This window comes from Homo sapiens, chromosome 10 (genome assembly GCF_000001405.40).
Source record: "Homo sapiens chromosome 10, GRCh38.p14 Primary Assembly".
Lineage (NCBI taxonomy): Eukaryota > Metazoa > Chordata > Mammalia > Primates > Hominidae > Homo > Homo sapiens.
The window spans coordinates 75,255,827-75,281,172 of NC_000010.11; the positions used below are offsets into that span (position 1 = coordinate 75,255,827).

Sequence of the window (25,346 nt, forward strand, 5' to 3'; positions counted from 1 at the left end):
ATGAGACTTATTCACTATCATGAGAGTGGTATGGGGAAAACCACCCTCATGATTTAATTATCTCCCACCAGGTCCCTCCCACAACATGTGGGAATTAAGGGAGCTACAATTCAAGATGAGATTTGGGTGGGGACACAGCCAAAGCATATCAGGGAGGATGAGGCAGGAGTAGCGCTTGAGCCCAGGAGTTTGAGACCAACCTGGGAGCATAGAGGGACTCCATCTCTACATTTTTTTTTTTTAATTAGCCAGGTGTTGTGGCATGTGCCTGTGGTCCCAGCCACTTGAGAAGCTGAGGTGGAGGGGATCGCTTGAACTAGGGACATCAAGGCTGCAGTGAGCTGTGATCACACCACTGCACTCCGGCCTAGGTGACACAGCAAGACCCTGTCTCAAAAAACAAAACAAAACAAAACAAAAACAACTGAAATGTACATGAACTAATGAATGAATAAATAAAATGTGGTATAGTGGCTGGGTGAGGTGGCTCACACCTATAATCCCAGCACTTTGGGAGGCTGAGGCAGGTGGATTGCTTGAGCTCAGGGGTTTGAGACCAGCCTGGGCAACATGTTGAAACCGTGTCTCTACAAAAAAAACAAAAATTAGCTAGGCGTGGTGGTATGCACCTGTGGTCCCAGCTACTCAGGAGGCTGAGGCGGGAACATTGCTGGAGCCCAGGAAGTCGAGGCTGCAGTGAGCTATGATTGCACCACTGCACTCCAGCTTGGGTGACAGAATGAAAACCTGTAAAAAAAAAAAAAAAAAAAAAAAAAAAAAAGGGGTATAGCCATACAATAAAGTATTACTTGTCATGAAAAGGAATAAAATTCTAATTCATGCTACAACATAGATGAACCTTGAAACCATGCTAATTGAAAGATGCAAAGGCCACATGTTGTATGATTTCATTTATGAAATGTCCAGAATAGGCAAATCCATAGGGACAGAGAGTAAATTAGTAGCTGCCAGGACCCAGGGTATTGGAGGGGAATAGGGATTGACTGCTAATGGGCATGAAGTTTCTTTTTTGAGTGATGAAAAGTTCTGGTGTTTGCAAAACCTTATAAACATACTAAAACCACTGAATTATATGCTTTCAAAGGGTGAATTTTATGGTATGTGAATTATATCTCAATAACAAATGCAAAAAACAAGACTAAGTTTGGAAATAAAGACATTTTCATTTACGCTAAAACTGAGAGAAGTTATATACAACAGACCCCATGCTCCCCCAAAAGAATTTCTGACGAATGAACATGAAGAGAAGAAAAATGATCTCAGGGAGAAAGTCTGAAGTATTAAAAAAAAATGATGAATTGAGAAAACAATAAAAATATGGGTGAAACTAAACACCCTTACTGTCCAAAAGAATGTCTGTTCCATGGGGTTAAACAAGAGATGAAGCTAAAAGGCTGGGCCTGATGTGAATGGAAGTAAAGTCTTCAAAGTGCCCTGCCTTGTCCAGGAGAAGGCTACGATATTGGTTAATATTAGACTATGTTAAGTTCAGTAATCATTCTAAAATTTGAAGAGTTGGCTGGGCATGGTGGCTCAGGCCTGTAATCCCAGCACTTTGGGAGGCCAAGGAGGGCAGATCACCTGAGGTCAGGAGTTCAAAACCAGCCTTGCCAACATAGCAAACCCAGTCTCTACTAAAAAAAATACAAAAATTAGCTGAGTGTGGTGGCACATGCCTGTAATCCCAGCTACTTGGGAGGCTGAGGCAAAATTGCTTGAACCTGGGAGGCAGAGGTTGCAGTGAGCGGAGATCACACCATTGCACTCCAGCCTGGGTGACAGCAACACTCCGTCTCAAAAAAATGAAATAAAATGCCAAGAGTCATCAATAAAAAAATAAGAAATAGAATGCCTGTCTTCCAAACTAGCAAATGGGGGAAAAAATGGGATAAGTGTGAAAGCTGAATCAATTCAAAATAATGCAGCAAAGAAGAAGAAAAGAAATCCGTAGAAAGCAGGACAAAAACCAAAACCTTCCGGGCACGGTGGCTCACGCCTGTAATCCCAGCACTTTGGGAGGCTGAGGCGGGCAGATCACCTGAGGTCAGGATTTTGAGACCAGCCTGGCCAACATGGCAAAACCCCATCTCTACTAAAAATACAAAAATTAGCCAGGCATGTTGGTGCACACCTGTAATCCCAGCTACTTGGGAGGCTGAGGCAGGAGAATTGCTTGAACCTGGGAGATGGATGTTGCAGTGAGATGAGATTGCACCACTGCACTCCAGCCTGGGCAACAAGAGTGAAACTCCATCTCAAAAACAAACAAACAAACAAAACCCCAAACCCCAAACCCAAACCAATGCCCAAAATACCACAAAATAAGATCATAGAAATAAAGTCAGGCTGGGCGCGGTGGCTCATGCCTGAAATCCCGGCACTTTGGGAGACCAAGATGGGTGGATCACCTGTCAGGAGTTTGAGACTAGCCTGACTGACACAGTGAAACCCCATCTCTTCTAAAAATACAAAATTAGCTGGGCGTGGTGGCGCATGCCTGTAATCCCAGCTACTTGAGAGGCTAAGGCAGGAGAATTGCTTGAACCTGGGAGGTGGAGGTAGCAGTAAGCAAAGATTGTGCCATTGCACTCCAGCCTGGGCAGTAAGAGTGAAACTCCATCTAAAAAAAAAAAAAAAAAAAAAAAGAAAGAAATAAGGCCAAATACATTTGTAATCTCTAGAAATACAGACTGAACTCTCCAATTAAAAGGCATAGACTATCAGACTGCGTTAAAAAAGAGACTAGCTAAATGCTGCTTACGTGAGATGCATCTAAAACATGAGGACAGATTAAAAAATTCTAAGTAAAACAGTCAAAAACAAAAAACAACAAAAAAACAAAATCCTCAAAACTACTGACCAAAAGAAAACCAGCATAGACATATCAGTATAGACTAAATAGACTTTAGGGCAAAAAGGTGTTACTAGAGGTACAGAGGGTTGGCCTGATGTGGTGCTCCTGCCTATAATCCAAGCACTTTGGGAGGCTGAGGCAGGAGGATCTCTTGAGGCCAGGAGTTCAAGACTAGCCTCGACAACATGGCAAAACCTTGTCCCTACAAAAAGAAAAAAAAAAAAAAGAAAAAAAAAAAAGAAATCCAGGCAAGGTGGCATGTGCCTGTGGTCCCAGCAACTTGGGAAGCTGAGGTTGGAGGACCACTTGAGCCCAATAGTTGGAGGCTGCAGTGAGCCAAGACTGGACCACTGCACTCCAGCCTGGGTGACAAAGCAAGACCCTGTCTCTAAAAAAATAATAAATTAATTAAAAAAAGAAATATAGAGGGTGAATAACAAAATTTAAATTCATCAGGAGAAAATTATAATTCTAACTTCATGGATACCCAATAATATAGCTTCAAAATATATGAGGTCTTTTATCAGATATATGATTTACAATATTTTCTCCCTTTCGGTGGGTTGCATTTTCACTTTATTGTTGGTGTCCTACGGGCATAAAAGTTTAAAGTTTTAAGTTCAATTTGTCATTTTGTTTCTTTTGCTGCTCATGATTTTGGGGTCATTCTGAGAATCCTTTGCCAAATCCAAGGTTATAAAGATTAAATAATTAGCCAGGCAGGGTGGCACACGCCTGTGGTCCCAGCTACTTGGGAGGCTGGGGTGGGAGGATCATTTGAGCCCGGGAGGTCAAGGGGGTGCAGTGAGTCTGGACTGAGCCACTGCACTCTAGCCTGGGTGACAGAGCAAGACCCTGTCTCAGAAAACAAAACAAAACTAAACAAAAAACTCTATGTTTTCTTCTAAGAGTTTTTTTTTTGTTTTTTTTTTTTTTGAGACGGAGTCTCGCTCTGTCGCCCAGGCTGGAGTGCAGTGGCGCGATCTCGGCTCACTGCAAGCTCCGCCTCCCGGGTTCACGCCATTCTCCTGCCTCAGCCTCCCGAGTAGCTGGGACTACAGGCGCCCGCTACCACGCCCGGCTAATTTTTTGTATTTTTAGTAGAGACGGGGTTTCACCGTGTTAGCCAGGATGGTCTCGATCTCCTGACCTCGTGATCCGCCCGCCTCGGCCTCCCAAAGTGCTGGGATTACAGGCGTGAGCCACCGCGCCCGGCCTCTTCTAAGAGTTTTACAGTTTAGCTCTTACATTTAGGTCTTTGATCCATTTTGAGTTAATTTGTGTAGTCCATTGACTTATATGCCTATTTTTGTGCCAGTACCAAACTATCTTGATTACTCTTGCTTTGTAGCAAGTTTTGAAATCAAAAGTGTGAGTCCTCCTACTTTGTTCTTTTTCAAGATTGTTTTGGTTATTTTGAGTCCCTTGCAGTTCCATATGAACTTTAGAATCAGCTTGTCAATTTCTATAAAGAGGTCAGCTGGGGCTCTGATAGGGACTGCGTTGAATCTGGACTCTATAGTCTTACGTCACTATGTAGGGTGACCACAGCTCCAATCAGCCAGTCCTTCAGAGGACAAAGGGCCTTCTGCCTAAGTTGGTCTGCCATGCCCCCATGTGTATGTCCTCAAGTGGCCCCATTAATGTGAGTGCTATTCGGACTGAACATGTGTATTCAGAGTCTAGATAGCTGAAATAGAAACCCAGGCTTTTGAGACCCTTCTAAGATTGTCACCATGACTGTAGTAATGGATGATCTTAGGTTGGGTCCTCCAGGAAGCAGACCCTGAGATGAAGATTTGAGGGAAAATAGTTTTGTGGGATGTAGGCCCAGGAGACGCTGGTAGGGCAGTGGGGAAGTGAGCTGGGTGGGGGGTGGGAGAAAATCAGGAGAGTGTGCCTAAATGAGCAGGGCATCACTGTGGGCATCTGAGGCTCAGTCCCTCTGGGAGAGGGTATAGAACAAGGCTTCTCAACCTTGGCCCTACTGACATTTTGGGCCAAATGTCTTGGAGACAGAGTCTTGCTCTGTCGCCCAGGCCGGAGTGCAGTGATCTCAGCTCACTGCAACTTTTACCTCCTGGGTTCAAGCAACTCTTGTGCCTCGGCATCCCAAGTAGCTGGGATTACAGGTGTGTGCCACCATGCATGGCTAATTTTTGTATTTTTAGTAGAGATGAGGTTTCATCATGTTGGCCAGGCTGGTCTCAAATTCCTGGCCTCAAGCAATTCGCCTGACTTGCCCTCCCAAAGTGTTAGGATTACAGGCATGAGCGACTGTACCCGTCCTGGGCTGGATGGTTCTGTGTTACAGGGGGCTGTCATGTGCACAGTAGGAAGTTTAGCAGCATCCTGACCTCTACCCTCTGGATGCCAATAGCAACGACTCAACCAAAATGTCTCAGATATTGCCAAATGTCCCCGGGAGTCCAAAATCATCTCAGATTGAGAACCACTGATGTAGGACATGTCTCAGAATTGTCCCATCCATGAGGTGAGGGAGCTGGGGTATTTATACTCCAACTCCCATTCGTCATTGTTTTAGGGCTGCTTTGTGGGCATCAAGTCCCTAGCACCTCTAGCTTGTCCTGAGGGTTGACTGAACATGATCCCAGGCCAGAGGGAGCTCTCAGGCAGTATTGTAGGCACCCATAGTATGAAGCCACCAGTGTGTATGGAAATATTGAGGACTGAGGGGGTGTGGGCACTCATAGTGCAGCTACATGGATCTTGCCATGCGTAGCATTGGAGACCATGATTCCTCCTAAGATTTGCAGCTCAGCCTGGAAGCCCGTGTTCCTGGGGCTTTGCAAAAGGAGCATTGCATGTGCCAGGGCATACAGTGTTGAAACCAACCTAACCCTGGGCAAGCCGTTGGCTCCTTGGCTGATTCTTGGTTCTGTGCTCTGTCACAGGCCTGGCCCAACTGCTGCAGAATGAGGAAAGATGGCCTTGGAGAATTTCAGATTGAAAATCTCTAAATGATCTTGTTTGCTGGGTAGAAGGCATTAGGGGAAGGAAGTGCCCATAGAATTCTCTTCCTCTCCCTCCCTCCATCTCAGCTCCATAAAACAAGTCTCAGCTTTCTGTACCCACCTCTGACCTCTAAGGGTGCTCTCCTTTTTCAGTATGCTGTGTGACTCTGGGCAAGGCATACCTCCTCTCTGGGCCTCAGTCTGTCTTCTGTAAAACATGGGGGTGGGGTGGACCAGATGACCTTGAAATATCCTGCCAGCTCCAGTGGCTGCTGAGAGCCCACGGAGGCAGCGGGGAGCCTCCAGGCAGCCAGAGCCCGGGGGCCAGCGGAAAATGTGACTTCGTTACAGCTCGGCCCCCAGTGGCGCTGCTGGCCTCTGATCTTTGAACATTTCCATAGTGCACCCGACACGTCGGGCCCGGTCATAGCCCGGCGCAGCCCCTCGCTCACTCAGGAACATCTGCTACAGCATTTACCACGTTAATAGATTAGCTTTGAGAATCGGGCAGGTGTTTTCCAACCAAGCCAGAAAACATCAAAATCACATTGCTCTCCAAGCCTTTCCGCACAGGCAATCGAGTTAGAATGACTCATATGGTCTAACAGATAATAAAACACACATAACATTTGCTTTAAGGTACAGGTGGGGGTATTTTGTCCCGCACATAGGAGAAACAAAAACTCACTCTATTTGGGAACAGGGTAATTGAATACAGATGGGAGGAGGTAAATGAAAGAATTTAGCAAATATCTCAGTGGAATAGCTAATGGGAATGAGACAGAATAGGAAATTAAAAATTATTCGAAGCAGATGGACCATTCTTTGAGTTTTTAAAAATTTATTAGGGCCGCGAGAAAATGTGTCTGTTTATTTTCTGCGGCCATGAAATTAATGACTTGGTGAGTTTTGCTTGTGCAATTTTATGACTGCCATGTCATCTGTCATAATTTGGGGACTGTTTGATATGGATTTATGAGTGTCCCCACCCCCCCGCCCCTCCCTGATTTATTGGTGTGGGTCATGCGTGAATTAGGCTGTCCCCTTTTGAGGGAGCAGCTCGGATGGTGGCGTAACCTCGCAGGCCCTGGGCAGGGGCTCCGGGGAATTCCTGGCCAAAAGGTGAGTGGAAAAGCTGTGAGGAAGCAGCAGGCTCACCTGGCTGAACTTCCTCTACTCGGGTGACCTCAGCCTGCCCTGGCCAGGGAGGAGGTGTCAAGACCGGGAAAACCAGCCCAGGCTGCTTGTGCTTGGCTGGGGCTAGGGTGGGGCCGTTGCTGTAGCCTCAACCCAGTGTAAGGGCCACCTGGCTCCTTGTCCCTCCAGTCCTTACAGCCGTGCTCACCTGCCCCCAGACCTGAAGCTCAGGGAAGGAGAAAAATATTCACAGTTATTTGGGGTCTGGTTGTGCCTGGCCAGGTGCTGGGGTTTAAGTACATTTTCTAGATGGTGGTTAACATAGGGCTTTGCAACCCGCAGACATGAATTCAGTTTTGCTTTGATTCTTCTGAGCTGTGTGTCTCTGGGCTGATCACTACCCTCTCTGAACCTTGATTTCCTCATCTTTAAAAAACAAAATAGGGCCAGTGCGGTGGCTCATGCCTGTAATCCCAGCACTTTGGGAGGCTGAAGCAGGTGGATTGCCTGAGCTCAGGAGTTCAAGACCAGCCTGGCCAGCATGGTGAAACCCAGTCTCTACTAAAAAGTACAAAAAATTAGCTGGGTGTGGTAGCACGAATCTGTAATCCTAGCTACTTGGGAGGCTGAGGCAGGAGAATCACTTGAACCTGGGAGGCAGAGGTTGTAGTGAGGCAAGATAGTGCCACTGTGCGCCAGCCTGGGCAACAGAGCCAGACTCCATCTAAAAAAAAAAACAAAAAACCAACCAATCAAACAAAAAACCAAAATAGAAGCATCTAACATTAGGGAGTTTTTGAGGATCAAATGAGATATTGTAACAACCCCTGCCCCCAAACACACATAGCAAAGAGCTAGTAAGTGGTAACTATTATTATTCTTAATAATCATCCCATCAACATCTTACAGTAGATATTATTATTTCCCCCTGACAGGTGGGGAAACTGAGGCTCAGAGAGTTTGAGTGATTTGCCAGAAGTTACACAGTTAAGGGGATGAACCTGGGCTTTCTTCCATAATGCTGGAGCCCATCTTGTTCTGAATTGGGATATGCCAGGCCTCAGTGGCACAGTTCAGGGCTACAGACTCATGACCTTGTCCTGTAGTTCCTCTGGCTGGGGCCTAATCTCATTCCATACCCAGCCTAGAGGTCTACTGCAAACTCTGTCCTGGTGACTAGTCAGGCAGCAGAGACAGAGAGCCTCTTATCAATCCCATTGCTGGGGCCAGCTGGGCACCTTGCCCAGGTGAGGGTGGAGGAGTCTGTCCAGTCTCAGGAACAGGCCCATCCCAATCCCCTTACCTATTCTGACCCAGCTCATTGGACATTGGAGAGCAGGGCTTGCAATGGCAGGGCTGGAGGCCCCACTCAGGCCAGGGAGTTCTCTGACGGCGAAGCCCCGCTTTTAACTAAATGTCATGCCCGGTGGTGTTTGACCTCAGAACAGGCTGTGGGTAGCATTGGGTCTCATCTAAGTTCTTCTTTTCAGCTCCACCTGTTCCCAGAAGCCCAGTCCAAGCCCGCTCTGTGCCTCTCTCAGCATCTCCAAATTAGAAACAAAAAAAACTATTTGCTGGACGAGTGCGGTAGCTTATGCCTGTAATTCCAGCATTTTGAGAGCCGAGGAGGGCAGATCACTTGAGGTCAGGAGTTCAAGACCAGCCTGGCCAACATGGTGAACCCTGTCTTTACAAAAAATACAAAAATTAGCAGGGCTTGGTGGCAGGTGTCTGTAATCCCAGCTACTTAGGAGGCTGAGGCAGGAGAATCGCTTGAACTCGGGAGGCGGAGGTTGCAGTGAGCCGAGATTGCACCACTGCACTCCAGCCTGGGCGACAGAATAAGACTCTGTCTCAAACATACAAACAAACAAAAAAACTCCTATTTGCTGAGCCCCTGTGGTGGTCCAGGCACTGTGCAAGGTGACTTGTTCATGCAGGCAGTCATTTATTCTTTCATTCGTTAAATATCTGCTGAACACCTATTACATGCCTGGCACTGTCCTAGCACTAGGGCTATGGCAGGGAACAACACAGACGAGGTCCCTGCCCTCACTGAACTGACATTCCAGTGGAGAGGATGGGCAGGCAACAGCACATCACTCTGTAACGTGTCAGGTAGCATTAGGAACTTTGAAGAACGTTAAAGCAGAGTAAGGGAGAGGAAAGGATGGGCCTGAAGGAGCAGGGATCTATTGTAGATAGCCTGATCAGGGAGGCCTCTCCGAGAAGGTAACATATGAGCTGTGGCTAGCCATCCAGGGAGTTTCCAGGCACAGGGAATGGCAAGTGCCTGGGCCCTGAGGTGGGAGGATGGCTGGTGAGTTTGAGAACAACAATGCCAGGGTGGCTGGAGCAGAATAAACAAGGAGAATTATTTTATTTTATTTTATTTATTTATTTAGAGATGGAGTTTCACTCTTGTTGCCCAGGCTGGAGGGTAGTGGCGCGATCTCGGCTCACTGCAACCTCTGCCTCCCAGGTTCAAGCAATTCTCCTGCCTCAGCCTCCTGAGTATCTGGGATTACAGGCACGCACCACCACGCCCGGCTAATTTTGTATTTTTAGTAGAGATGGGGTTTCACCATGTTGGTCAGGCTGGTCTCGAACTCATGACCTCAGGTGATCCGCCTGCCTCGGCCTCCCAAAGTGCTGGGATTACAGGCGTGAGCCACTGCAGCTGGCTTATTTATTTATTTTTTTGAGACAGTTTCACTCTCGTCACCCAGGCTGGAGTGCTGTGGTGCGATCTTGGCTCACTGCAACCTCTGCCTCCCAGGTTTAAGCGATTCTCCTGCCTCAGCATCCCAAGTAGCTGGGATTACAGGCATCTGCCACCACGCCCGGCTAATTTTCGAATTAGGAGAATCATTTTAAATTACATTATCTCATTTAATCCTTACCACAGCTTCTCAAGGAGGGTGTTATCAACCCCAATTTTACTGATTGGGACAAGACTCAGGGAGGTCAGGTTACTTGGCCAAAGTCACGCGACAGAGCCAGGTTCCACACTACCACATGACGTCTCTGGATGTTACAGCTGAGGGACACCAGCAGAGCAGGACCAGGGGTTCAGAGGCATTGGGGGGGTGGGGCGGGGGGCAGATGTCTGGAAGGTACAGCTGTGAGCACAAGTAGGGCCTGCTCCTGTGGCCAGGAGCCTTATGGCAGCCCCAGCTATAAGGATTCTTTAAGGCCCCAGTGCTGGGCTCTGACAGGGCAAGATGGATGGGAGCTGTGGGCTTAGTACCCGGCTGAGTTTCCTGAACGGTTTTCTCCAGATGGTCTCTAGGAAGATGAGGTTTAAGAAGATTGATTCCCTGAGAAGGGAGGACGGGAAGGAGAGGGGGCTCCTAGCTGGCCTGCCGCGGTGAAAACATCTCTTTTCTTTGAATAAAGAAAACTCCTGCTTTAAAAGGTGTGGCTCCTGGGCCTGTGTGATGTGCAGGCCTTGGGAGAGGGGCCGAGGACAGGAAAAGGGTGCCGGGGGCACGGGACTTTCCTCCTGAGGCAAGTGGCTCCACCCCCCTGGGCAGGGACACCTGCAACCCCTACAGTGTTGTGGGCTTGCTTGGGTCCAGTCTCCTTAGCCAGCTAGGATTTCTCCATCTCCTGCTTCCTCCCTCTTTCACCTTTGAATGACTTCAGGTTCTTGGAGATCCCCTGCACTCATAGCTTCATGCCTTCAGGTCTTTGCTCATGCTGGGCCTGCGCCTGGAAGGCCATCATTCATTATTCTGTGGTAGGGTGACCAGTGAGGGGACATTACTGTATGTATGTAAGGTGGATGGTACATGGAATGTGTATCATTGCAAGAGAACTGGTAGAGAAGGTCTACCTGGGAGAGAAGGTAGAGGGGTCTCCTGGGAGAGAAAGGATCAAGACTCCAACTCCTTTTGTGTAAGTTTGGAAGGTATTAAGAACTGTCGGAGTGTGTGTCTGATAAAGACTGTGGCAATATTCTAAAATTGATGGTGGGCTGGGCGTGGTGGCTCACGCCTCCCAGCACTTTGGGAGGCAGAGACTGGTGGATCACCTGAGGTCAGGAGTTCAAGACCAGCCTGGCCAACATGGCAAAACCCTGTCTCTACTAATAATACAAAAATTAGCTGCGCATGGTGGCGCATGCCTGTAATCCCAGCTACTCAGGAGGCTGAGGCAGGAGAATTGCTGGAACCCAGGAGGTGGAGGTTGCAGTGAGATGAGATTGAACCACTGCACTCCAGCCTTGGCGACAGAGCAAGACTCCGTATCAAAAAAAAATAAAAAAATAAATTGACGGTGGTAAGGATTGCACATATCTGTGACTACTCCAAGAACCATTGAATTGTATACTTTAAATGGGTGAATCATATGATATGTGGATTATATTTCACTGAGCAGTTATTAAAACGACAACAAAAAGACCCGGTGACAGGGAAAGCTATTGAGGTCCTTGAAATAAAATCACCACAGGAAAGGGATAGGAGCAGTGGCCTGACTGGAGCATGGGGAGGTGGTGCTGGGGGTGGTGGGGGAAAGCAGGCATGGAAATCTGCCTTGATTCAGTTGTCTTGAGTTGCGCTCTGAAATTTTGTATGTGGTGAATTATATATATATATATAATTTTTAATTTTTTGAGAGGATCTGGCTCTGTTGCCCAGGCTGGAGTACAGTGGTGTAATCTGGGCTCGCTGCAACCTCCACCTCCCAGGGTCAAATGATCCTCCCACCTCAGCCTCCTGAGTAGCTGGACTACAGGTGTGTGCCATCATGCCAGGCTAGGTTTTGTACTTTTTTGTAGAGATGGGATTTTGCACGTTGCCCAGGCTGGTGTTGAACTCCTGAGCTCAAGTGATCTGCATGCCTCAGCCTCCCAAACTGCTGGGATTATAGGTGTGATCCACTACACCCAGCCAGTGGTGAATTATATTTTTTTGAATTATTTTAGAAAATTTGACTGGGTGTGGTGGCTCATGCCTGTAATCCCAGAACTTTGGGAAGCCAAGGTGGGCAGATCACCTGAGGTCAGGAGTTTGAGACCACCCTGGCCAACATGGTGAAACCCTGTCTCTACTAAAAATACAATAATTAGCTGAGCATGGTAGCGGGTGCCTGTAATCCCAGCTACTAGGGAGGCTGAGGCAGGAGAATTGCTTGAACCTGAGAGGCAGAGATTGCAGTGAGCCAAGATCGTGCCACTTCACTCCAATCTGGGTGACAGAGCGTGACTCTGTCTCAAAAGAAAAAAATTTTTTTTTTAGAAAATTTCAAATAGATACAGATGTCAAAGGATTCTTTAAAAAAAAAAGTCAAAAAGTAGCTTTCAAATTTCAAGACAGAAAGAGAATAGTGTAATAAATCCCTGTGTATTTATTGCCCAGCTTCAACAAGGATCAACTCTTGGCCAATATTTTTTAATCCACATCCCCGCTCATTTCTCCCTTCCCAGATTATATTGAGTAAATCCTGCACATTATGTCATTTTATCTTAAAATATTGTTATGCCTAAAAGAACTAATAGCACTTAAGATAATCAAATATTCAGGCATTGTCCAACTTTCCAAATGTTTCATAAACAGTTCTTTAACAAAAATCTAGTATGTATGAATGAGGATCTAAATAAGGCCTTCACATTGTTAGTTAATATATCTCTTTTTCAAACTATAAGTTTCTCCTCTATTTTTTCTTCTTCTTGAGGTTGATTTGTTAAAGAAATGGATTGTTTGTTAGGAAGAGTTTCTCACAGTTTGAATTTTCTTTTTTTTTTTTTTTTTTTTTTGAGATGGAGTCTCACTCTGTCACCCAGGCTGGAGTGCAGTGGCGCGATCTCAGCTCACTGCAAGCTCCACCTGGATTCACGCCATTCTCCTGCCTCAGCCTCCCGAGTAGCTGGGACTACAGGCGCCTGCCACCACGCCCGGCTAATTTTTTGTATTTTTAGTAGAGACGGGGTTTCACCATGTTAGCCAGGATGGTCTCCATCTCCTGACCTTGTGATCTGCCCGCCTCGGCCTCCCAAAGTGCTGGGATTACAGGCGTGAGCCACCACACCCAGTCAAATTTTTTTGGAAGTATTTGTTAGGATATTGGTTTGGCTGCATTGATAGAGGGTTTATTTCTCTCTTTTCAAGAGAGTAAAAATATAAGATGATAGGCAGTTGGAGCAGGGAAGGCTGCTCCTCAAATTTGTCCAGGAACCCAGCCTCCTTCTTTCTTGCTGTTGTACATTCTCTAGGACAGTGCTGTCCAATAGAACCTTCTGTGATGATGGAAATGTTCTCTATCTGGCTGTCCAGTACAGCAGCCAATAGCCACATGTCCAGTGAGCACTTAAAACGTGGCCAATGTGACTGAGAAATTGAGGTTTACATTTTATTTAAATTTTACTATTGATTTATTTATTCAAACAAAAGGGTTTCACATATTTATTTCTGAACCAGCCTACTAGTGCAGCACATATAAACAAAGAGAAAACACATTTTCTCAATCAAACATGTCTGACTGTCTAGATAGTGGTGACCTTGTCAGCTTGATAGTGTAAGATAGTGACCTTGACCCAGCATTAATATGTGTGCCATCTCATGTGCAATTCCTTGCAGGCCTAGCTTGGTTCTTCTCCAATGTCTCGTCTTGGAGTTGTGCCTGATTTTATTACCAGTTTTCATCTGAATCCACTGGGGAATGGGACGATTTTGCTTTTGTTTCTTGGCCAGGAATCACCTGACCCTGAAAAGTCTTGTGAGAAGACATGGCGAGAAACAGTCAACTTCACACACCATGATGGCGGAGAAAGGAAGAGCTTAAATTTTATTTAACTTTTATTAATTTAAGTAGCCACACGTGGCTAGTATCTCCAGTATCTGGCAGCACAGCACTAGACCCCCTTCATCTGCGAGGCTAGAAGGGCTTCTCCCCTATCCACCTTGGAGATTTCTGGCCGGGGCCCCCAAGCAGCTTCCTTTCAAGAGCGTCATCACTTCCTCTCACACCCCATTGGTCAGGACTTACGTAGATGGCCACCCCCTCCCCCAGCTGCAAGGGAGGCTGTGAAATGAAGTCTCTAGTTGGATAGCAGTAAGTCCTGCTGAGTTCAGCAGTTGCTGTTCCTAAAAGGAAGAAATGGGTAGAATGGATATTGGTGGACATTTAGAGACAAGGAAACTGGACAACTCTAGACTGTTGCCAGGAGTCAGGAGGTGAGGAAAGCTGATACTCAGGCTGTGAGGCCTCAGACATAAAGCTCAAAACTGTCGTTGTGGTGCAGATACTGAGTCCTGCTCACCATGAATCCCCAGCACATAGCATTCTGGGACACAACTGAAGGGTTAACATTGCCTCCCTGAATCTTCAAACAGGACCTCCGAGCTCCACAGCTAACTGTACATTCATCTGCCTATCTAACTTTTTTTTCTTTTTCTTTTGAATTTTTCCCCCAAGGCCCTTCAGGAATGAATTTTTTTTTTTTTTTTTTTTTAGAGACAGGGTCTCTTACTCTGTTGCCCAGGCTTGAGTGCAGTGGTGTGATCATAGCTCACTGCAGCGTCAAACTCCTGAGCTCAAGCCTCCCGAGTAGCTGGGACCACAGGGGCACGCCAACAGGTCTGGTTACTTAAAAATTTTTTTTGTAGAGATGGGGTGTCACTATGTTGCCCAGGCTGGTCTCAAATTCCTGGGCTCAAGTCATCCTCCCACTTTGGCCTCCCAAGGCACTGGGATTACAGCTGTGAGCCACCATGCCTGGCCTGTGCATTCCTTATTTTATCCTCGATAAAACGTCTAGGAGAGAGGAGTGATCACTATTCCCAGATTTAGAGAAATTCACTACTTTCCCCTGGTGTTATCTTCCTGTGGTTGCTGTAACAAATTGCCACAAATTGGGAGGCTTAAAACAACAGAAATTTATTCTCTTACAGTTCTGGAGGCTAGAAGTCTGAAATGAAGGTGTCAGCCCGGTTCTACTCCTTCCAGCGGCTTTAGGGGAGAATCCTTTCCTATGCTCTTCCAGTTTCTGGTAGCCCTGGCATTCCTGGGCTTGTGGCTGCATCACTCCAATCTCTGCCTCTGTCTTCACATCACCTTCTCCTCTGTGTGTCCACGTCTTCTCTTCTTGTCTGTCTCCAATTGTTCTCTGCCTCCTCTCATAAGGACACTTGTCATTGTATTTACGAACCACATAGATAAACCAGGATAAACTCTTCTTAAGTCATTTGATTATTCGCATCTTTCACCATAGAAGGTAATATTCACAGGTTCTGGGATTAGGACACAGACATATCTTTTGTGGGGGTCACCACTGATCCAACTACAGCTCAATTCACATAACTGGTCAGCGGGTCCCTGGGTTGCACAACTCCAGGGACACAGTGTTTAATGCAGTGGCCTTGCTGGTGACAGCAAAGCTGGGACTTGAATCCAGGCCAGCCTGAGTCCAAAGCCCACTGTGTTTCCATCTAGAATTTAAATTCTTTTTTTTTTTTTTTTTTTGTTTGAGATGGAGTCTCGCTCTGTCGCCCAGGCTGGAGTGCAGTGGCGTGATCTTGGCTCACTGCAGGCTCCGCCCCCCGGGTTCACGCCAGTCTCCTGCCTCAGCCTCCCAAGTAGCTGGGACTACAGGCACCCGCCACCTCACCCGGCTAATTTTTTGTATTTTTAGTAGAGACGAGGTTTCACCATGTTAGCCAGGATGGTCTCAATCTCCTGACCTCGTGATCTGCCTGCCTCGGCCTCTCAAAGTGCTGGGATTACAGGCGTGAGCCACCACGCCCGGCCCCCCATCTAGAATTTAAATTCTAAAGGTTTGTGAATCAGAGCAGTTCAACATGGTTGTCTGTTTATCAGTATTGAAGGTTGGATACCCGACGAACCACCCAGTACCAGGCTGATGGCTTTTCCTTTTAATCTCTCTTTCCCCCTTTACTGGCTCCTCCCTTGCCCTGGTGGGGTGCGCTTTGCCTCTGAAAGGATAAGACTTCCTCACATCTGTAAAGTGCTTTACCCTTTATAAAGCAATTTCACATAATATATAATATGAGAACTTTTTTTTTTTTAAGCATTGGTGCCATTTACTGTTCTTGATTTAAAAAGCAGAGGAGTTGAGTTCCTTTGTTATTTTTCAAGGAAAAACAGACCCCAGATTAAGTTGATTTTTGCATATAACCCCTGCTTGATTTCTTTTGGAGGTCACTGGCCTTTGATAGAAAAAAATCTCCACACTCTTGCAGCCTGAGGAAATGGAAAGACAACAAAAGACTTGAGCAGCCCAAAGAAAGAAGAAATCAGACCAACGCTTGGGGCCTCCTCCTCAGGGCAGAGGGCTGCGGGGAAGGAGGCTGCCCAAAGAACTGGCTTTCCTCTATGGTGAGGGTTGTCCTGGGCTCCTTGGAGGGCACCAGGCTGCTTGTGGCAGCTGTTTCCAGAATCCCAGCACATGTACCCTCGAGGTGCTCATGCAGTCTCTGCAAAGCTGCCCACATGTCCGTACTCATAACCCACATGTGTGCACACACGCATACACATCCCATCTCTCTCACGCATATGCACATGGATACATGACAAATGTTAATGCTAACACTTATTAAGCACTTTCTGTGCACCAGCACCATTGATCAAATGCCTTCTTGAATCATTTCAATCCTTACAACAGCTGTGAGACCAGTAATATTATTTTCTCCATTTAGCAAATGTAGAAACTGAGGCAGAGAAAGGCAAAGTAACTTGTTGGAGTTAGATTTCAACCCAGTCCAGCTGGGCCCAGAGTCCACACTGCTTCATCCAGACCCCCACCTACCATAGTACGACACACACTTGTGCACACACGTACACACAGACCCATGCCTGCACATGTGGGCAAACACACCTGCATTCCATCACACACATGGCCAGACCTATGTGTGTGCAAATGCACTGACACAACACTCACCCACCGACCCCACACGTACTGTGCTGCTTCCTCTCCTGCCTGTCTTCTCAGGAACCGGTTTTCTTTTTCTTTTTATTTTTAAGAGATGAGTTCTCTCTATGTTGCCCAAGCTGGTCTTGAACTTCTGAGCTCAATTGATCCTCCTGCCTCAGCCTCCCAAAGTGCTAGGATTACAGGCATAAGCCACCATGTCTGGCCATAGGAACTGGTTTTTTTCTGAAGCCAATGACTGAGGCCAGGCTGGACTGGGCATCAGAGTGAGGATGGGGGTAGGGTGGCCACTGACAGGGTGATGGAAAGCAGGAAAGTCACAAATAAGCAAACAGCCCCGCCTGGACACAGTTTCGGCTGGGCGTTTCCTGAATGTCCAGGGACATGTTTATTTTTTGATGACTGTCCAGAGCTGACCTCAAGTCTCTCCCTTCCCGAGTGGCCATCATGATGGAGCTGTGGCGCTGTGGGTCTGGCTTAGTTGGGAGTGATGTTTACAAATGTCTCTCTTCTCCAGCGGAGGCTGGGAGGCCCTCGAGGGTAGGCCCCATCTACTTCTCAACTTCATACCCCCAACTCAGGGTGTTCCTCGGATGCCAGCTCTCTGACCCCAGGAGGTTGGATTGGGCTGGAGAGTGTTCACTCCAGCCTCCTGGCCTTTGCTCAAGCTGTCCTTTGCCTGGGATACCCAATTCCTGTTCTCAAGGTAAATCCTATTCTCCTTCCTGAATCTCAATCAAATGACACCTCCTCCAGGAAGCTGTCTAGGTTCTTTCAGGGTCTAAGAAATCTCTTTTTTCCCCGGCATTTAATTTTTTTTTTTTTTTTGACAGAGTCTTGCTTTTTCGCCCGGGCTGGAGTGCAATGGTGTGATCTACACTCATTGCAACCCTGCAACCTCTGCCTCCTGGGTTCAAATGATTCTCCTGCCTCAACCTCCCAAGTAGCTGGGATTACAGGCATGCACCACTGCCTGGCTAATTTTTGTATTTTTAGTAGAGTGGGGTTTCACCATGTTGGCCAGGCTGGTCTTGAACTCCTGATCTCAAGTGATTTGCCCACCTCAGCCTCTCAAAGTGCTGGGATTACAGGTGTGAGTCACCACGCGCAGCCAAAAAAAATTTTTTTTTGGTGTAAAATACTTCTTAACTTTCCTCTAACTCATTTGCAGCATAAATGTCTGCCGTGGAGGGCTATTTTTTTTTTTTTTTTTTTGAGATGGAGTTTTGCTCTTGTTGCCCAGGCTGGAGTGCAATGGCACAATCTTGGCTCACCACAACCTCCGCCTCCCAGGTTCAAGCGATTCTTCTGCCTCAGCCTCCCAAGTAGCTGGGATTGCAGGCATGCACCACCACGCCTGGCTAATTTTGTATTTTTAGTAGAGACAGGGTTTCTCCATGTTGGTCAGGCTGGTTGCGAACTCCCAACCTTAGGTGATCCGCCTGCCTCGGCTTCCCGAAGTGTTGGGATTACAGGCATGAGCCACTGTGCCTGGTCAGTGGAGGGCTAATTGTGGTAAAATACGGATAATATAAAATTTACCATCTTAACATTTTAAGTGTCTAGTCTAATACACTTAAATATATCCACACTCTTGTATAACCATTGCCACCATTTATCCACATAACTCTTTTCCTCTTGCAAAACTGATTAAACCCATTAAATGATAACTCACTGTCCTCCTTCCCCCCAGCCCCAGCAACCACCATTCTACTTTCTGTCTCTCTGAATTTGACTACTCTAGGTCCCTCAGAAAAGTGGAATCATGCAGTATTTGTCTTTTTGTGTCTGGCTTATTTCACTTAGCATAATGCCTTCCAGGTTCATCTGTGCTGTGGCATGTGTCAGAACTTCTTTCCTTTTTAAGGCTAAATAATATTCCATTATATATATATATATACACCACATTTTTCTTATCCATTTATCTGTGAGTGGACACCTGGGGTGCTGCCACTTTTTGGCTATGTGAATAATGCTGCTCTGGACATGGGTGTACAAATATCTCTTTGGCACTTTGTTCTTTTCACACATATTTATTCATTCATCTGTTGACGGAAATTTGGGTTGTTCCCAGTTTTTGTCTATTACAAATAAAGCTGCTATAAACATTCATCTACAAATCTTTGTGAGAACATAAGTTTTCATTTCTCTTAGGCAAATATCTACCAGTGGACTGGATCATTATATATATATATATATATATTTTTTTTTTTTTTTTTTTTTTTTTCGAGATGGAGTCTTGCTCTGTCACTCAGGCTGGAGTGCAGTAGTGTGATCTTGGCTTACTGCAGCCTCTGCCTCCCAGGTTCAAGAGATTCTCCTGCCTCAGCCTCCCAAGAAACTGGGATTACAGGTGTGCACCACCATGTCCAGCCTGTTAGATGTACATTTAAAGACACTGTTAAATTGTTTTCCAAAGTGGTTGTATCCTTTTTTTTTCCAGAAAAGGATATTTTAAAAATTCAAGTAACTGCAAATAGGAAACCAGAGGGGGTCCCTGGCCTGGGACCTACTCACACCCTGGCAGAACAGGGGAAGGCAGCTCCTGTACCTGCTATGTTCAGTTCAGTCCCCTTTGTCACTCTGCTGCAGCATCTGAGGGTCCGGGCCCATCTTCCCTGGGACTGAGGTGGTTCATAAGCAGCCTGACACATGCAGCCCCTCTTGCCTGAGAAGACTATCTTGGGGGAGGGGAATGTGAGCAGAATAAGAGGTAATGAGGATGGACATTCGGTTCTGGGAGCAGCAGCCGTGATAGATGTTAAGAATGAAACACTGAACAAAAAACAACTGTCCAGAGGTAGTTTGTGAACGGGAGCCTGGGGGTGGCGCTCTCGAAGGCCGAGCTCTTTGTTATTGGCACCCCATCTGAGGAGGGAGAAACAGGCTGAGTGGTGGAAGCAGGTAGGGTTGGGGCACAGCCCCAGCTCACCTCAGGTGGCTGCCACAGGCAGCCTGGGCCTCACCTGGACAATAGGTGACCCTGCATCTGCATCACTGCAATAGAGACTCGGATCCCAGACTGAGGGCAAGGGGGCTGGGGCCCCTGTGAAGAAGGGTAGGTGGCTCAAACCCCTCCTGCCTTCCTTTCTGTACCCCAAAGCAGGCCGTGCAAAGGAGTGCAGGGACTAGCAAAAGGAGGGAAGGAAGAAAAATAGGTGTGAGCTCCACGTGGTGACAAAGACACAAGTTGGCTGGGAGCATCCTGGGGGCCAAGCGTCCCCCTCCACTGGCCACACCTGTTGCTGCCAGGGCAGTGGAGTAGGGTACGCCAGAATAAGAGGGGCTTGGGCTCCTTTTAAGGCCAGGGAACCCTCCCAGGCCCCTCTCTGGGAAACCAAAGGGAACAGTGGAGAAGCAGAGCGGGGGGTCCCCAAACCAAAAGCCCAGAGAGCAATGTCCGTACCGACATGCGCGTGGGGACGCAGGAGGGGCAGGGTGTGGCTAAGTGGGACGCAAGGTGTGGCGCAAGTGTGTGCATGGGTTGGCGGGGTGGCTGGGAGCTGAGGCCAGAGAACTGCTCCCCAGTCGACCGGCAGGGGCCCTGCAGCGGCTGCTGCGCGGCGCAGGGGGTGGTGGTGAGAGGGCAGGGTGAAGCGGTGGGGAGGTGGGCCTGGGGGAAGGAAGGGGACAGCGTGAGCGAGCAGAGCAGTCCAGGCCCAGGAGGAAGCTGCTCCTCCTCTGAGCACTCCGATGCCCTCCTCTCCCTCCTTCCCGGTTTTTTGGGTCGGCCCCTTGGTTTCCTTCCTGGAGTTGTGGTGGGTTTCCGGGTGTCAGCAGCGCCCCTGATTTTGTTGCCCTTTGGTGGCCCCGGGTCTCCCAGGTGTTGGCCGGGCTCCTACGGAGGCTGCCTGCGGCCTGCCCTGCCCCCACTGCTCAGTGTAGTCCTTTTCCTGGTTGGAGGCCCACGGCCGGCTAGATTTCGACCTGGACCCTCTCATCTGCCCTTCTCCACCGAGCAGGTGGAAGAGTGGTGGCGGGAATGCGCCAGCTCTGACCTCCCTGCGGTGCGCGCTGCGGGGCTGGGAGCAACTGTGCTGGGTTCTGAGGCCCATGCGGGTGCCTTCTTGGAGCCGCGCCAGCACCAGAAATCGCCCGGGCTCGGAGTCCCAATTAGAGGCGATGGTATCGTTTTACATTCCTAGCATCAGTGTACGAGGCCCAGTTCCTCCACATCCTCGCCAACACGTGGTATGGTCAGTCTTTTACATTTTAATTATTTTAATAGGTATGTAGTGGTATCATTGAGATTTTAATTTGCATTTCCCTAATAACCATTTACCGTTTGTAAATATTTTTTCATAAAGTGTCTGTTCCAATCTTTTGCTGATTATTTTCATATTGGGTTGTTTGTTTTCTTATTATTGAATTTTGAGAGTTCTTTATATACTCTGGCTACAAGACCTGTATCAGATATGTGATATGCAAACATTTTCCCAATCTATTACTTACCTTTTTGTTGCATTAACAGTTTTTTTTTTAATTTTATTTTTATTTTCTTTTTTTCTTTTTTTTTGAGATGGAGTCTTACTCTGTCACCCAGGCTGGAGTGCAGTGGCACGATTTCGGCTCACCGCAACCTCTGCCTCCTGGGTTCAAGCCATTCTTCTGCCTCAGCCTACCCAGTAGCTGGTATTACAGGTACACACCACCACGCCCAGCTAATTTTTGTATTTTTAGTAGAGATGGGGTTTCACCATGTTGGCCAGGTGGGTCTCGAACTCCTGACCTCATGGTCTGCCCACCTTGGCCTCCCAAAGTGCTGGGATTACAGGCATGAGCCTCTGCACCCGGCCTATTTTAATTTTTTTTTTGAGACGGTGTCTCACTCTGTTGCCCAGGCTGGAGTGCAATGGCATGATCTCAGCTCACTGCAACCTCCACCTCCTGGGTTCAAGCGATTCTCTGGTCTCAGCCTCCTGAGTAGCTGGGATTACAGGCGCCTGCCACCACCCCCAGCTAATTTTTGTATTTTTAGTAGAGATGGGTTTTCACCATGTTGGCCAGGCTGGTCTGGAACTCCTGACCTCAGGTAATCCGCCTGCCCCGCCCTCCCAAAGTGCTAGGATTACAGGTGTGAGCCACCACTGTGCCCTGCCCTGATTCCATATCTTAAGGGAAGATCATTCAGTCTTTCACCACAAAGTGTGATGCTAACTGTGAGCTTTACAGGGCCCTTCATCAGGTGGAGGAAGTTCTTTTTATTTCCAGTCTGTAGAGAATTCCAGCATGACTGGGTGTTGAATTTTGTCATTTTTTTTTCCGCATCTATTGAGGTAATCAGCTGGCTTTTATCCTTCCTTTTATTAAGATGGTGTATTACATTAATTGATTTTTGAATGTTAAATCAACCTTGAATCCCTGGAATAAAACCCTACCTGGACATAATGTATTATCATTTTTATGTATTGTAATTTGCTAAAATTACAATATGTACAATGATTGTACACAATAATTACATTATCTAAAATTTTGTTAAGAATTTTTGCATCAAGGTTCATGAAGTATTAATATATTGGTCAATACTTCTCTTGTTTTGGTATCAGAATGATGCTGGCTTCATAGAATGAGATTAGAAGTATTATCTCCTCAATTTTCTGGAAGAGTGCGTAGAATTGGTGTCATTTTTTCCTTCAACATTTGGTGGAATTCACCAGAGAAGTCATCTGGGCCTGTAGTTTTCTGTGTGTATGTGTGTGTGTGTCTGTGTGTGCTTTTCTTTGTGGGGAAGTTTATAACTACAAATTCAATTTCCTTAGTAGATAAAGGAATATTCAGGAAACCCTATCTGTACAAAAATACAAAAATACTAGCTGAGCATGGTGGTACACTCCTGTAATCCCAGTTACTCAGGAGGCTGAGGTGGGAGGATTACATGAGCCTCGGAGGCGGAGGTTGCAGTGAGCTGTGATTGTGCCACTGCACTCCAGCCTGGGTGACCCAGGTGACACAGTGAGAACCAGTCTCAAAAAAAAAAAAAAAAAAAGAAGGAAAAGATAAGAAAATGATTTCCCATATTTTGTATGGTGTTTTAGTTGTTTCGGCTGAGAGGGAAAGGGGAATCAGTCTGTTACTCTGCCTTGATATAAATGGAAGGCCCTCGATGCTCTTTTGCTTTCGGCAATAGTGCTGATAAACTGAGAGGCTAGCTGTGCTGGAGGAGACTGAGGTGGCTGGAAGAAGAGTCACTTTATATGACAGGGTGTACATCTCTGTGCCCATAGTTGTCCTCCCCAATTGCACATCTTCCTGCACATGTACCTGCATATCTATCTGGAAATCTATCTGCACATCTGTCTGCATGTCTGAAAGCATTCTGCTGGAGTTTGGGAAGCTGTCTGTGGCTGGGACACAGTCTGTCCTTTTTCCTGCTCAGGGGAAACTCCATGCCACCCACATGATCATCCTGCTACATTTCTTGATGTCCACACTCGAGTCCATCAGGCCTGGGCTGGCTGTGTACAGGGTGCAGATGAGCCAAGTAATTGCCTTTTGTAGTTCTAGTTAGGAAGACAGTATAGGGTCTTCCTAACCAGAAGGGCTTTTCTGTTTTGACTCTGCTGGTGCTGATCTGGGCTTCTGCCTCCCGCTTCCCTTCCACAGTGATCCCATAGGCTCTGGAGACCCACCTGTGGCTTCTGGCTGAAGTGTGGGTCTCTCTTGGACTGGGAAGGGTCTGGTTGCTGCTATAAGCCCAGCCCAGGTCTTGGAGGAGCACAATCTAGTGTTCTACACAATGGGTTTTTCCATGGGTCTCCAGGAGAGCTATTATACACCCAGAAGATCCAGCCTTTACCAGCGCTCTCTCCTTTTTCTCTCTTGCTCCCCTTCCCTATGCCAAGGAGTAGGCAAAGGTTGACATTTCGCACCTCCATTGCCCAGCTCATTCTAAGGCCTTTATTTAAAGGGTGGATAATGGCACATAGAAGATGTGTCTATAACAGGTAGCACATTTCCTATGGTGCTTGGCATATGTCTTAGTCTTTTCGGGCTGCTATAACAAAATACCATAGACTGGGTGGCTTATAAACAACAGAAATTTATTTCTAACAGTTCTGGAGTCTGGGAAATCTAAGATCAAGGTGCTGGCAGATTTGGTGTCTGATGACGGTCTGATTCCTAGTAGATGGCTGTCTTCTCACTATAACTCACATGGCAGAAGGCACAAGGGATCTCTCCGATGTCTCTTTGATAAGTGCACTAAACCTATGCATGAGAGTTCTACCATTAGGACCTATTCACCTCACAAAGTCTCCACTTTCTAACATCATCATCTTGGGGGTTAAAATGAATTTTGTGGGGACTATACATTTAGTCTATTGCAGAAAAGAAAGGTATATTTATTTTTTTACCAGATTAAATTTGATTCAAGGCCTCCTTTGTCAAGATGGATAATCAGTCCAAGAATTCTAGAACTTGTACAAGCCAAAAGTAAAAAAAAAGAAAGAAAAAAGGGGGATTAATTCAATTAAGAATATACATCCCCAATGGCCCATCAATTCAGCTACCTGGGACATCTCTATTCCAGGGGAATTTTCACATGAGTCCATAATGGGACACATACAGAGATGTTCACTGTGGTGTTGAATGTGGTGGTCTGGAGTTGGAGGTAATCTGGCTGCTGTCCTGTGTGAGGGAGGATGAGAATCAATCATGGTTCAGAAGCCTGCAAGGCAATATTCCTCAGTCCATGTGTCTCCTTTCCTGACAGATGGCCCTTGTTTGAACCCTTCATGGGGTAAGCAACTCAGAGTGGCGTGTTTTGCTGCTGGGAAGCTCAGATTGTGCCAGAATTACATCTCCCTGGAGATGATTGTGGTGGGCTTGGTATCTTGGAGGGGTGTGTATGCGTGTGTGTGTGTGTGTGTGTGTGTGTGTGCATTTATGGGAAACACTGTGTTTTCATTCATCCATTTATTCATTCATAAAACATACGGTTATGGGGCAACAGCCCCATGCTAGGTTCTGGAGATACAATGACCTCTGCCTTCATGGTGCTTACAATCTAGTGGGGGAAACAGATACAACTGATGATTCTGGCACTATGAGAAATAAGCATTTGTATGACAGGAGAGAGGGAGGACCCAACTTAAGGTTGATGGGCCATGAAGGACTCCTCTGAAAAAAGGAACATCTAAATCAGGCCTGAGAGCTGAGTAGAAATTAGGCAGGGGAAGAAACAGGGGTAGAATGTTCCAGGTGGAGGTAATGTGTGCATGAGGGTGATGTGGTGGGCGAGAGCGGCTGCTTCAGGGAACTTCTCTGCCTGGCTGGAGCAAGGCAGGTAAGCAGAGCCAGCTGGAGGAGAGGAGGCTGGGGACACACAAAGCCTGCTGTGTGATAAGGTGACCATGTAATTTATCATCCAGACTAGAATGCATTGAAACTGAAAGGTCGCTCTCCTAATAATATTGTTGGGATGACGGTCACTCTACTTGTAGGTCAGGGTAAAGAGTTTGAGTTTTAG

The 25,346-nt window shown here is 46.9% G+C and overlaps 1 protein-coding gene and 2 pseudogenes across 1 annotated transcript in view, besides 1 other annotated feature; all 3 read right to left on the reverse strand.

Annotated features, from left to right (window-relative positions):
- Positions 5,614-7,261: an enhancer, noted in NCBI's record as "VISTA enhancer hs1437". NCBI's record gives its function as "enhancer in: limb[4/4]" and the evidence as "EXISTENCE:transgenic organism evidence [ECO:0001131][PMID:17130149]".
- RPL39P25 (ribosomal protein L39 pseudogene 25) lies at positions 13,374-13,768 on the reverse strand (annotated as a pseudogene).
- On the reverse strand, positions 19,310-20,710 carry HMGA1P5 (high mobility group AT-hook 1 pseudogene 5; annotated as a pseudogene).
- ZNF503 (zinc finger protein 503) overlaps positions 23,899-25,346 on the reverse strand; it is a 122,192-nt gene continuing 120,744 nt past the window's right edge. The window contains exons 3-4 of the transcript NR_120651.2: positions 24,232-24,294; positions 23,899-24,085 (exon numbers count right to left, since the gene is read on the reverse strand). The gene's annotated coding sequence lies outside the window, so the exon portion shown is untranslated. The remainder of the gene's footprint in view (positions 24,086-24,231; positions 24,295-25,346) is intronic.